The sequence below is a fragment of the Homo sapiens genome, chromosome 7, assembly GCF_000001405.40.
Source record: "Homo sapiens chromosome 7, GRCh38.p14 Primary Assembly".
Taxonomy (NCBI): Eukaryota; Metazoa; Chordata; class Mammalia; order Primates; family Hominidae; genus Homo; species Homo sapiens.
In genome coordinates, this window is record NC_000007.14 from 134,985,133 (window position 1) to 134,997,590 (window position 12,458).

The 12,458-nt window shown below is 38.9% G+C and overlaps 1 protein-coding gene across 25 annotated transcripts in view, besides 7 other annotated features; it reads left to right on the forward strand.

The window, feature by feature from the left end:
- Positions 1,278-1,577: an enhancer, noted in NCBI's record as "active region_26695". NCBI's record gives its function as "activates an Ori minimal core promoter by ATAC-STARR-seq in GM12878 lymphoblastoid cells {active_cell/tissue: GM12878}" and the evidence as "EXISTENCE:reporter gene assay evidence [ECO:0000049][PMID:35858748]".
- The window catches only part of AGBL3 (AGBL carboxypeptidase 3), a 149,271-nt gene continuing 138,188 nt past the window's right edge, over positions 1,376-12,458 (forward strand). For 6 of the 25 annotated variants that reach the window (XM_047420319.1, XM_047420318.1, XM_047420320.1 and 3 more), the window contains exons 1-3: positions 2,743-2,864; positions 4,118-4,178; positions 8,361-8,546. In XM_047420319.1, coding sequence (XP_047276275.1) covers positions 2,802-2,864; positions 4,118-4,178; positions 8,361-8,546 — 310 coding nt within the window. In that variant the 5' untranslated portion in view covers positions 2,743-2,801. Of the gene's footprint in view, positions 1,852-2,742; positions 3,233-4,117; positions 4,179-8,360; positions 8,547-10,078; positions 10,460-12,458 lie in introns of those variants that run through there. The other 19 variants (NR_160297.1, NM_001345850.1, NM_001367814.1 and 16 more) reach the window with 11 other exon arrangements.
- Positions 1,588-1,727: an enhancer, noted in NCBI's record as "active region_26696". NCBI's record gives its function as "activates an Ori minimal core promoter by ATAC-STARR-seq in GM12878 lymphoblastoid cells {active_cell/tissue: GM12878}" and the evidence as "EXISTENCE:reporter gene assay evidence [ECO:0000049][PMID:35858748]".
- Positions 1,808-2,067: an enhancer, noted in NCBI's record as "active region_26697". NCBI's record gives its function as "activates an Ori minimal core promoter by ATAC-STARR-seq in GM12878 lymphoblastoid cells {active_cell/tissue: GM12878}" and the evidence as "EXISTENCE:reporter gene assay evidence [ECO:0000049][PMID:35858748]".
- Positions 6,317-6,366: an enhancer, noted in NCBI's record as "active region_26698". NCBI's record gives its function as "activates an Ori minimal core promoter by ATAC-STARR-seq in GM12878 lymphoblastoid cells {active_cell/tissue: GM12878}" and the evidence as "EXISTENCE:reporter gene assay evidence [ECO:0000049][PMID:35858748]".
- Positions 10,409-10,528: an enhancer, noted in NCBI's record as "active region_26699". NCBI's record gives its function as "activates an Ori minimal core promoter by ATAC-STARR-seq in GM12878 lymphoblastoid cells {active_cell/tissue: GM12878}" and the evidence as "EXISTENCE:reporter gene assay evidence [ECO:0000049][PMID:35858748]".
- Positions 10,909-10,988: an enhancer, noted in NCBI's record as "active region_26700". NCBI's record gives its function as "activates an Ori minimal core promoter by ATAC-STARR-seq in GM12878 lymphoblastoid cells {active_cell/tissue: GM12878}" and the evidence as "EXISTENCE:reporter gene assay evidence [ECO:0000049][PMID:35858748]".
- Positions 11,189-11,258: an enhancer, noted in NCBI's record as "active region_26701". NCBI's record gives its function as "activates an Ori minimal core promoter by ATAC-STARR-seq in GM12878 lymphoblastoid cells {active_cell/tissue: GM12878}" and the evidence as "EXISTENCE:reporter gene assay evidence [ECO:0000049][PMID:35858748]".

The following is a 12,458-nucleotide window of genomic DNA, read 5'->3' on the forward strand; positions in this document are numbered from 1 at the left end:
AGAGCAAGTGAGATTCTGTCTCAAAAAAAAAAAAAAAATCCTAAGTTTTTAAAATTATGCATTAAGATCATTTTTCTTCCCATGGACTACTTGGTATGTGATAATATAACTATTTGGACTAAAAATCACGAGACTTAAGTCTCTCAGCCCTGCCATTAATTTCTTATATAACCTGGTTAGACCATTTCTCAGTTTTACCTTGTACAGCTGACATCCTATGGCTTGCAGCCATGACTAAAATCCAACAGAAAAACAGATTACATAAATAAAGATTTCTCTGTGCATGTCACCTTTAGTGATTTATGTATGGCATAAAACAAGCTTCAACTATAAGAGCTACTTTTCAAGAGGTTGATCTAAGATATACTCTATTAATATTCTCTGGCCAAGGTCTAATCTGGAAGGTTCATACTTTTAAACTGCTGACCTCAAAAACACCTATTTTCAGATACTTACAAAATACAAAGAGATTATGTTAACCCATTTCCATGCTTAAGCCATAGTGCTTTGCCCTTTATTCTACTTTCAAACTTGCTACCATTTATTATCTCCATTTCTACAATATCACGAATCTCATGACATATAACGCTTTGTGAAAAGTGTTTATTTACATTCTTATATCATCAAAATCTAGACTTTTTTTCAGCTGTACTTGGAAAACTTTTCCAAATAGATTACCTTACCCTGTAGAGCTAAAGATGAGGGAAAAAATCAATATGGGATGTTCATGAATAACGTCTGTTAACTAAATGAGACTACATATAGTGATTTGCAGTCATCAGGAAAACAGTGTTAAATATGCTAGCTGACGATTGCTATAAAGAATCTCTGAGCTGATAATTTTGAGAATTCACCCTAGTTCATCTATGACTCTCCATTTAGTATTTAAGGAGAAAAGCCTCATTTTCCAGAATCGAATAAGCGAATTAATCGCACAATTGTGTAGAATGGAACTCAGTCTGTAAAAAATCAAGACCAACGTACTTTTTAATATTCTAACATCTCCAAGTAGTAGTTACAAGTATTGTACCCATGAAGTCCAGGTAATTAATTTGTTCAATGTCACACTGTTAAAAGTCAGGTGGGCTCCAAAGCACAGTCCTAACCAGCATGCTCTACTGCCTCCTCTGAGGCAACAGCCGAAGTGCAGACCACTGGGAATAAATAGCTGCCCGGTCTTCCCCACTCCTAAATTCTCCCGACAGACCCCAAAGCCTCTCTGAGAGCCTCTCTGACCGCCCTGCGGCCCACCCCGAGTTCCCGGCATCCTCTGGGATCCCTCTTCCTGGAGCCAAAACCTACGCAGGCTCCTTTCCTCCGAGCTGGTTGCTAGGTGATCTCCGAAGGCTGTCCGAAGTCTCGCGAGGGCGGACCCGTTGCCTGATGACGAGAGTTGGGAGTGTGGCTGGGGCTGCGGATCTCCAGCAGTGGCGTTACTTCTAGCGGCTGGATACCGGGTTCTCCGCGAGATCGCGAGATCCCGAGATATTCTCCCCGCACGGAAGCGACGACTGGCCTGGCCAGAGGACTCGCGTGGGAGCGAGGTGCCGGCCCCGACAGGACGGTGAGGTATGCAGAAGTAAGGCGGGGCGCCCCCTGCGGGAAGCGAGCGCGCCCCGGAAAATGAGCGCCTCCCCACACCAAGGTGTCCAGGAGTGAGTGCGGGAAGGAACTCGGCCGCCCGGAGTTGTGGCCTCATCGTGCTTCCCGCCAAAAACGCCTTGGTACTGTCGGGACGCGGCTAAGCGTGGACGCGCCCGCATCTGCCCCTCCTCCGCAGTGGTGGAAGACACCCGCGGAGCGCCGGTGGATAAGGGCCGTTTCCTGAGACCAGAGCTGTATCCGCAGCAGGTCAGCACTTCGTGCGCCCTGTGTGCACCTGTAAGGAATGGAATTTAGGCCAGTCGGATTTTCCAAATGTGGAGTTGTGATGCCCAGGCAGAAACTTCAGTTTCTTAGGACTGAAGGTGTCATCTATGAGACAGTCGGTTCCGTGGCATTGGCAGTGATTTGCCATAGAGCTTGGACTTAACTTATATGTAGTCCACGCTCCAAAACACGCTTCCTGTAGAGAGGGGCGTAAACTAATAGATTTGAAATTGTCGAGTCCTTTGGTCTCTCAAGAACGATGGGAACTTGACAAGAAATTTCGATTATTCCCTGGTCTTGATATTACCCACATGGGAAGATACTTGCATAGAATGGTAATGGTCATTACCAATACAACCTTCTGGTAGCTATTTAGATTTCTAAGAATAAGAATAATATAAATGAATATTAGAACAGACAGTATCTACAGAATAATAATCAAAATGTAAAGTCTTGTCACTTGAACTTTTGGTCAAGTGAAAATCAAGGAGAAAACTTAAAATTATATTGCTACATTTCAGTAAGTGACTATAATTTTTAAATTCATTATCTTTTAATGCCTCAGGATCATTCTGAACTTGCTGTGTAGTATTTAATTGTAAATATAAAATGTGAATGATTTGGCTGTATACTCTGGAAATTCCTTTTAATTAAATGATTTGCTTGATTTGTCTTATTGTGGTTGTTGTCTCGTATAGTCATGGAAAATTCCTTTAACTCTTTGAAATTGAAGGTTTTATTAGTTGTATTCTAATTAGTTTTTAGAGAAGACTGTTGTGACTGTTAAATACAATTGAATATATTTTTGAGTACTCATTTAATGTAGTAAACACCTACAGCTTGAAAAGAAAAGCTGTCATATAATTTCCTTAGAAATTGTTTTACAGCCTACCCGTATATTACAAGAAATCTCAAGTCAAACACTGGAAAAGATGTCAGAAGATTCAGAAAAGGAAGACTATTCAGACAGAACAATCAGTGATGAAGATGAATCGGTATGTTTTTCTCAACTTTATTTTACTTGGAGATAAAATTTGTATTATATAAATCCCCAATTAAAATATTATAAAATCAATTGGATATAAAAATCAATTGGATGTTTAAATTATTGTCATTGAAGTTGGGAAATAATTTGGCTGAAAAAGCTAAGCTATCACTGGGAACACTATGCCCTGTCTAGAAAGAGAAACTATATTTGTATTTTTTTTGAGAAAATATTTTAGCTAAGATTCTTCTAGGTTTTATTAAAATTTGTATATGAAATTATTAGTAGGGTTTTAGTTTTAGGATTGATGTCCACTTATTTTCTTCTATGTGCTGATTGGATTGTGTTACATCGTAGTATGAATCATAGTAGAACCACCGTGTTCTAACCTTATTGTGTATCACCATAACAGTTTATTGTGGCTCTGATGTCATAAAGGAAGAGACATGGAAGAAGAAAAAGGGGGAAAAACGTAGTATTTAAAATTCTTTAGTCTTTTTCTACTACATAGGCTGCGAGATTTCCTTCAAATTTTATTAAAGTATAAATTATGTATGTAAACTAATGTCCCGAAATAAGCTCTTAAAGCTTACTTTAGCTATTTAAAGGATTTATGGCTTTCTGTGTTTTTCTTTTTGTTAATTTAATTTTTTTTTTTTTCTTGAGCCAGAGTTTGAGATCGCTCTTGTTGCTCAAGCTGGAGTGCAATGGCGCGATCTCGGCTCACTGCAACCTCTGCCTCCTGGGTTCAAACGATTCTGCCTCAGCCACCCGAGTAGCTGGGATTACAGGCATGTGCCACCATGCCTGGCTAATTTTTTTTGTATTTTTAGTAGAAACGGGGTTTCACCATGTTAGCCAGGCTGGTCTCAAACTTCTGACCTCAGGTGATCCACCCGCCTTGGCCTCCCAAAGTGCTGGGATTACAGGCATGAGCCGCCACGCCCGGCCAATTTTATTCTTAATTTAAATAGTTTTCCCGGGTTTATCAAGAATCTTTAAACTTTATTCCTTCCATAAAGTCATTATTATGACCACACCCAGTGGAAGAGGAGGAATGAAAGATGCAAACTTTAAGGTTTCAGGATATTTGAAGTGTTGGGTGCATTGAGACCAGTAGCTGATAATAATCCTTTAATTTTCTCGTTTATTAAAGGTTAAAGACATATACTCAATCCCAAGTACTAAAATAGATGTAAAAAAATTCTGGATTTGAAAACTGTTGGTTTTTAAAAGAGAAATATTTTTAAATTCTTATTTTAGGATGAGGATATGTTCATGAAATTTGTAAGTGAAGATCTTCATCGGTGTGCACTTTTAACAGGTTTGAACCTATTCATATAGTTTTTGTTTAGCATAAAACTTTGAATGGATAAAAAAGAAGATGAGGAAACTAAAAAGTCAGATTGAATAATATAGGGAATGATTATTCTAGTAGATTGTGAAAGAGAACTGTATCTACTTGCAGAGTTCAAACTTTTCAGGTTTGTTTTAGGTAAGCCTATTTTATATTAGAAAATAATAAATGAAAGTGGTGATTATCTTATATTTAACATAAGGATTTACCTTGTCATTTGTTTAAATGTATTGACTGTATGACTCAAGTTATAACGGACAGATTATGTTAGAAGTACATCTTCATTTAAACGAAGTACATTGTCTAAAGAGTCTCATTAATAAAGTCATTCATTTGCAACTGAACATGTGTGTGGACATCTTGATGTATACTTAATTTTTAAAGATTTATACTTAGAATTGTACTTTCAAACTCTAAGATATCTCTACTAAATATTTACATATGTGTCACAAATACTCTGAAATTGGAGTTAAGGCCTTTATCTTTTTTTTTTTCTTTTGTCTTTTGCCACCATCCTAAAATAAATCTTCCTGTTTGAAATAACCACCATTCTTAGTTTGGTGTGTATCATTCTAGAACTTCTTTGCATATACACATATCTATACCCATAGGCATAGAAATTTTATAGTACTGTTTTGTGGACATTTCCCTGCTACCCTTTTCTGTTTTTTAAATTTTGCCAAGCTATTAGAAAACAGGAGATAACTCACTCCTTTAACTAGCATTTCTGGGATTGCTAGAAAAATTGAGAATTACTTCTATAGGCTTATTATCTACTCATATTCTTAGTTGGTCTGAATTGCCCATTTATACTAATCCCTTTATGTTGCTTCCTTTGTTTAGAACATTACCAAAAGCAAGATGTAAAACATTTAATCACCCCTAAGTGTTCCTGTGTCTCTGCAGTAGATCCTCTCCTTCCAGGCTTCACCCCTGGCTCCAGGCAACCAGTGATTTGCGTTCCCTCCCCTATATTTGGCTTTTCTAGAATTTCACAAAACAGAATCATACATTTTGTGTTTTCTGTCTTCTTTCATTTAGCATAATACTCTTGAGATTTATCCATGTTGTTGCATATATCAGTAGTTCCTTTTTATTGTTGAGAGGTATTCCATTATGTGAATAGATCAAAATTTCTCCATTTAGCCATCCATTCATGCTCATTTAAATTATTTTCAGTTTGGGGCTGTAACAAATAAAGCTCCTATGAATATTTTTGTACAAGTCCTTGTGTGAACATGTTTTTGTTTCTCATGGGTAAATCCCTAGGAATAGTATTATTGGGTTATATGCTAACTATATACTGTATGAGAAACTGTATCTGTTTTCTAAAGTGGCTATATCCTTTTGCATTCCCAGCAATGTGTTATTTCTTCGCCAATAATTCTTAGGTTTTAATTCAGTACAAGTGTGCTTTTCCCTTACCTCATGGAGCATAATTGTAATGACTCCTTTAAAGTTCTTGTCTGATAGTTTTAACATCTGGGTTATCTTGATGTTAACATTTGTTGATTGCCTTTTGCCCTGAGAACTGGTCCTACTCCTGGTTTTCCATTATTCATGCTATGCTGTGTAGATTCTGGGTCAGTGTATTTCTTCTAGCAGGCAATCAATCCAGTTAGGTTGAAGCAATAAGTTCTGGTGCCCCTTCTGTGGATAATTCAGATCTCAGTTCTGATCTGTAAGCCTTTGCTATGCTTATTTGGTTCTTTCCCATGCCAGTGTAGTTCAGGGGTTTTGAGACTTGTATAGATGGTTCAAAGTCCTGTTTAGTTCTCTTAAGTTTTCCTTGTATTGGTTTGGGACTATCTTGCACATGTGTAATTCAGGGATTGAGCTGAGACATTTGTGTGTGGGTGGGGGGGGGGTTGGTTAAAATTTCAGTTAAGTTTTCATAGTCTCTGAGAGTGTGTCTGCTTGCATAGCTCAGGGATTAGGATGAGACTTTTGTGCACTCATACACAGGATTAGGAGATACCTTTCTCTGGTTGCTTTCTTCCCTTCAGATTCCCTCCACACTGTAAGGACCCCTTTTCCTGGGTCTTCTGTTAAGAAAGACTGGGTTTCTGATTTGGAGAAGGAATTTTTTTTGTTTGTTTTCTTGTATGTGTACATATTGTCATTTCTTAGTCTAGGCCAGAATTTCTCAACCTCTACACTACTGACCACCCCACCATGTTCTCCCATGACATCCTGTATATGCCTGCATGGTTGCCCTTGCCATATCATATCACCTAACCCTTCCTTCTTTCTGTCTGTACTGAGAACGCCTTGATCTCAGAGGCTGTCTTATCAATGTTTGTATCTCTTCCAAGCACTGGGTCTGGCACATAGTAGGTAATCACTAAATAGGATATTATCATTGTTAGGGTGGTGTGACTAAATTATTCTGCTCAAGAGAAAAAGAAAAGGCTACTCTCAAGCATTTTGGAATCAAACATTTATAATAAAAAATAACTCCAAACTTTAGTAAACAGAAAAAAAAAAAGACTCAGTTTCTATCTGAGATTTAGCCATTTGCACCACCACACTTCTCTGTGCATGAGGCCTGCCATTCAGCAGGCCAGAGCAAACAAGGGGCTGGACTCACCTTCCTGTGGGGGTGCTTCTCTAAGTATTAACTCTACAGTCTGCTCTTGTTTACTTTTCAAATTCTTCAGATAGTTATGTTTTTGTATTTTATCTAGAGTTTAGTTGGAATTAGTGAGAGAGAAGGCCTTTATAAGACTTATGTTGCCACAGCAGGACTAGAACTCTTGTTCATTAACTTTTGGGTGAATGACAAACTTGCAAATTTTACATGTGGTTGCTGGATTTTGTTGTATTCAGTTAAAGAATGTTGGACTTTGTCCTGATAAGCAGTTGTTTTGCTTGTGGATCAGTTTCATTACTTTGAGGCTTGCCTTTCAGCTTTGTTAGAGTGTGTCCAGCCACAACAGTCTTTACTCCGGGGCTGAGTTCATTATTTAGGTGTCAGCTCACATGTTACCTCTTCAGAGAAATCTTGCCTGACCACCCTATCTAAAATAGCATTCTTACTCCCACTTTCCCATTTCTAATCTTCATTTATATTTCTGTTTTTTATTTTTGTAGCATTTATGATCACTGAAATTATCTTGTTTTCCTATTTATATATGCCCTACTACAGTGTAAGCTCATGATGGCAGGGACATTGTTTTTTTCACCCTGTATGGCAATTGTCTGTATATAGTTTTTAGCACATAGTAGATGCATGATAAGCATCTGTTGAATGAATGAGTCTATAGAACAATCCTGATAAGTAACTAGGGCAGGTGATATTATTAGTTATTGACCTGTAGTAAGATTTATGTTCAAAGAGGCTGCCTTGCCCAAACAAAGTCATACAAAAACAAAGTGGTAAAAGGGAAGGAATCCAGTTATCTGAGCTCTAGTCCAGTTGCTGTATCAGCTGTTGTACAAAAATAACCAAGAACTAAATCTCGGCAAAAAGCCACATTTCAGAGGTGAAAGAGCAAGAGGAGTCAGTGAGACAAATGGAAAACCAAATATGTGGAAGGGAGGGGGAAACCCAGGAAATGTATCATAAGAGAAGTGCGCTTAAGGAGGGTGACCATCAACGTCAAATTGATGCCGTACAGTATCACACCAAAACACCAGATCACTGCACAGCCTGCTTGGCGTGGCCCCATACTAGTCTATGTGAATTGTGTTCCTGGCATTGTATCACACAGTAGCTCTAGAAGGAGAACTGAGAAAAAGTTGTGACTGAGTTCACTAGCAAACCTTGAGAATACAGTTCCAGGAAGTGGTGAGGAATTATAGTTCATCACTGTATTTAACTCGTTAGACAAATAGTGTGACTACATTTAAGAAGAGTCAAAGTAGATGATTTGCTAGAAAAGCTACGAGAAACATGTTTTTAAACCAGTAGTGAGCTTTTAGAATAAATTAATAGTATAAAAGTCAACTATCTTTTGGCTACTGTGAAGATCAATCATCACAAAATTTCATTAGTACTTTTATAAACAGTGCCATGAATTATAAAACATTTATAATGATACCCACACATTGAATAGTGTTGAAAGGAAAAAAGGAACTATATAAAAATTACAGGAGTTGGTATTTTTCTTCTTCCCACTCATGATTGTGTTTGAATCTTTTTCTCAGCTGACTCTTTTGGTGATCCCTTCTTCCCCCGGACTACACAGATACTATTAGAATATCAGCTAGGGAGATGGGTGCCACGTCTTCGTGAACCAAGGGATTTATATGGTGTCTCTTCTTCTGGTCCATTGAGCCCAACACGGTGGCCATACCATTGTGAAGTCATCGATGAAAAAGTCCAGCATATTGGTATGTTTTTAGCAGTTTGGGGGATTCAGACATTAGCAAACTTACTTTGCCAACCTTAATTTTAATGAGGAGACTCACAATGTTAGAAAACAGCACATTCCAACAGAAATATAACATGAGCCACATAATGTAATTTTAAATTTGCTTGTAGCCACATTTAAAAAGGCAAAAAGAAGAAAATGAAATTAACTTTAAAAATGGATTTTATTTAACCCAAATATATCCAGAATATTTCACATTCTTTTTGTCCAAAGTCTTCAGAATCTGGTGTGCATTTATCTTTACAGACATTTGAATTGAGATCAGCCACATTTCAAGTGTTCAGTAGCCACATGGGCTTAAATGGAGGCACTTGCAGCATTTGCTTGGCTCCTGAAGCTTTAGCAATTCTAAACAATTCCAAAGGGCATGACGGTGTCCCAGGCACAAACTCATACACAGAGTGAAGTCACAGATGGAGGCTATGCCGGAATGGCTGTGAGCTGTAGTCCTGCTCTTTGTGGCTCTCTGTCTCTTTCTCCTTATTTCCTCCTTGTAGGTCTGTCTTCTTAGTGTATCTTTATCTTCTTTTACCACTTTCTGCCTTTCTCCTTTTTTCCTCTTTTCCTCTTTCATTTTCTCTTTCTGCTCCTTTGTCTTTTTCCCACTCTCTGCTTTTTCCTTTAATGGATGTTTATGAAACTGAAGAGTATATATTTTAGTATATATAGATTTTAATATTTCTGTATGTGTCCATTCCCAAATTCATTTTTGCTTTTCCAAGTAAAGCTTATAGCCTCATCTCTCCAATCCGTGCACAGGCATGACAGAAACATCCCATTGTTCATCATCTTTTCACTGCCATGACTTTCCACCTTTTGTTGATTGAGGCACGCAAACATATGTTATTGCCAGGTGGAGATCTTATGGACACTCATTGGTGAATAAAAAAAAATTACACATACATACTTTTTATAACTACACTTATTGCAGTGCCTACTAGGAGTTCTTAAAAACTAAATTTTCTTCATATATCATCTGGCATATAGATAGATAGACATGGGGAGAAAGGACGGGTGGAGAGAGAGAAAGAACACTGATTTTTGTTCATAGAGGACAAAGGTAATTTTTCTCAAGAATTCCAAAGTTATAGGGTTAAAAATATATTAAAGAATTCATGCTTAATAGTACTAAACAGAATCACTTCCTTACACATCTCTTCAAAGCTGGGTATATATTTATCTTCTGTAGTATAGGACATCTCTCTCTCTTTTTCTCCTTTCAGTCCTTCTACCATCATCCCCACCTCTCCTCTGCTACCACCCCCTCCAACCTCATTTTTCCTACAGCACCAGGTCAGGAAATAAAAAAGTCCAACAGAGAAAACACTGCCATGCTACTGAATTTAAACCTTCCCCCAAGCCTTTCTTTTTGTACTTTGGTTCTGTTTCCTAGCCTCCTCATGACATATCTGTGACAGAGGGAATGGATAAGGAGCAATAAAGGAAAATCCCTACTGCTCCTACTGTGACTTCTGCCTAATTTCTCTCCAGTAACAGTGACGAGAGAATGAGAGCAGAAGAGACCCAAAAGGAAGAGGAAAGCAAGACCCCGTCGGGCCACTGCTTCTCAGTGTCACTTCCAGCCGCATGTGCTCATTCCACTCAACTTGGTTCCACCTCACCTAACTAGAAAACCCTTCTGTCACATCTTTGCCACACCTTTCTCTTCCTTAAATTTCCTAGCCCTCACTTTCAGCCGTCATTTTGCCCTCAGTCACAGGAGTCACCATCAGCAGCTCAGAGTGGGGAGAGTTTCTATTTTCCTTGGTTGCTTGGTAATCCCCCACTGTTACTGCTGAGGTTCTTTCAGATGTGGGCAGCTGTGTTTCTGGCCTCTTCTATTGAAATTCTAAATATAGTTTCTAACCAAAATATTGTTGTAAGAGTGGCTAGAGTTTGTGGTGCCTCCTTTCAGATATCTTACATAATGAATAGACTTTGGGCCCTGTGAATCCAGCCTCCACCCTGGTGAAGGTGCAACCTCTCTCAGCATACGTTTCCCAAGATCCCCAGAGTCATGATGTCACACAGCTACTGGTCACACTATCTGTGCAAGGTATAGTCATGCTGGATAAAAGCTTTATTTTGGGCTATGCCACTGTTCTTTTATTTTCAGTCTGTGCCCCTGAAATTTTTGCAAGCTCTGCTGGTCCTCAAGCCAACTGGAACACCCAATACAATACATCCTTGTGTAGGAAGAATCAAAATCTTCTCCCACATGTGTCCTTGATGGCTTTTTCCACCTTTGCTTGCTAGCATTTCAGAAAGTTTACTTCCCACAGTCTTACGTATTGCTCTAGACCTTGCTTTTGTCACTTGACTATTGCAAAGATTTTACAAATTTGGATATTTGAAAGGACTTATAAGACTTCACAGAGCATTCTTCTGTGTGGCTTTTATTCAAAGGCACAGGATACGGTGCAGCAAGAGAAAGATACTGTGGCAAGCATTGGGGCCCAGGTGCAAGCTTTCCAGGGGCCTTATTCACACACATAGACTGCCTGTCTTCAGACTGAAACACCAAGATCTATGTGATGCATCTTAGCTTCAGAAAACCTCAAGGCAAAAGTTCCCATCTGGGTTTTTAGACCCCTGTAGTCATGACATCAAGCCAGGCTGTCTTCCTGATTCTGCCAAATGAAAACCATCAGTAAACAAACTGGCCATGCGGGGGACATGAAACTCTCAGGGGGAGTTTCAGACAGTAAACAGCACATCATTAATCTTACTGTTCTTATCTTGGCCAAGAGTCAAAGCTGGACAGCCAGAATTCCCCAGAGGTAAAAATAGAGCTTTTCCAGTCCAGCTATAAATTAACTCTGTCTTACACAGTCATCTATCTTGAAAGACTTTCCATATCAGTTTATATATATTAGTCTCCTTTTTTATAAACTGGTACATCAGATTTCATTAAATGGATGAATCAGAATTTCTTTAACTGGTACCTTATTAATGAATTTAAGGGGTTTCCAGTCATTGGCTCTGACAAACAGAACTGCATAAATATCCTTTTATGTGTGGCCTAATGCATATATACGTACATATTTTGGGGGTACATTCCCATAATTTCTGGTATAAGGATACTGTCAAATTTTCCTCCAAAAAGAGTTGCATCAATTTATTGTCATAAAAGCAAATAGTTTATGAGTGTGGTCAGGGGTCCTCAAGACAACTCATATTCAATAATTTGCTACAAAGACTTGCAGAATTCAGAGAAGCCATTATACTCATGGTTATGGTTTATTATGTCCCTGAAAGGACACAGATTAAAATCAGCAAAGGTAAATGGCGTATAGCAGTGGTCCCCAAACTTTTCGGCACCAGGGACCAGTTTCGGGGAAGATAATTTTTCTGTAGATGTTGGGGGATGGTTTTGGGATGAAACTGTTCCACCTCAGAGCATCAGGCATTAGTTAGATTCTCATGAGGAGCACACACAACCTAGATCCCTTGCATGCACAGTTCACAATAGGGCTTGTGCTCTTATGAGAATCTAATGTTGCTGCTGATCTGACAGGAGACAAAGCTCAGGTGGTAATGGTCGTTCGCCCACTGCTCACCTGCTGCTGTGTGGCCTGGTTCCTCACAGGCCATAGACCAGTACTGGTCCATGGCCTCAGGGTTGGGGACACTTGCTATGCGGCAGGGTCCAGATGAGACCTAGCACAAGCTTCCAGTTGTTCTCTCCCTGTGGAGTCTTAGAAACAGCACTTAATTCTCCCAGCCATAATGTGAGATAATATGAAGTGCTGCAAATCAGGGAAGCTCATCTAGCTTTGATGTCACTGGTTTCTATTGCAGGTTGGTTATATTTACATTCAGTGCCCACATGGCTGACCTTAGTTACTTAGTCTCTGGCCTTTCCAGGGGT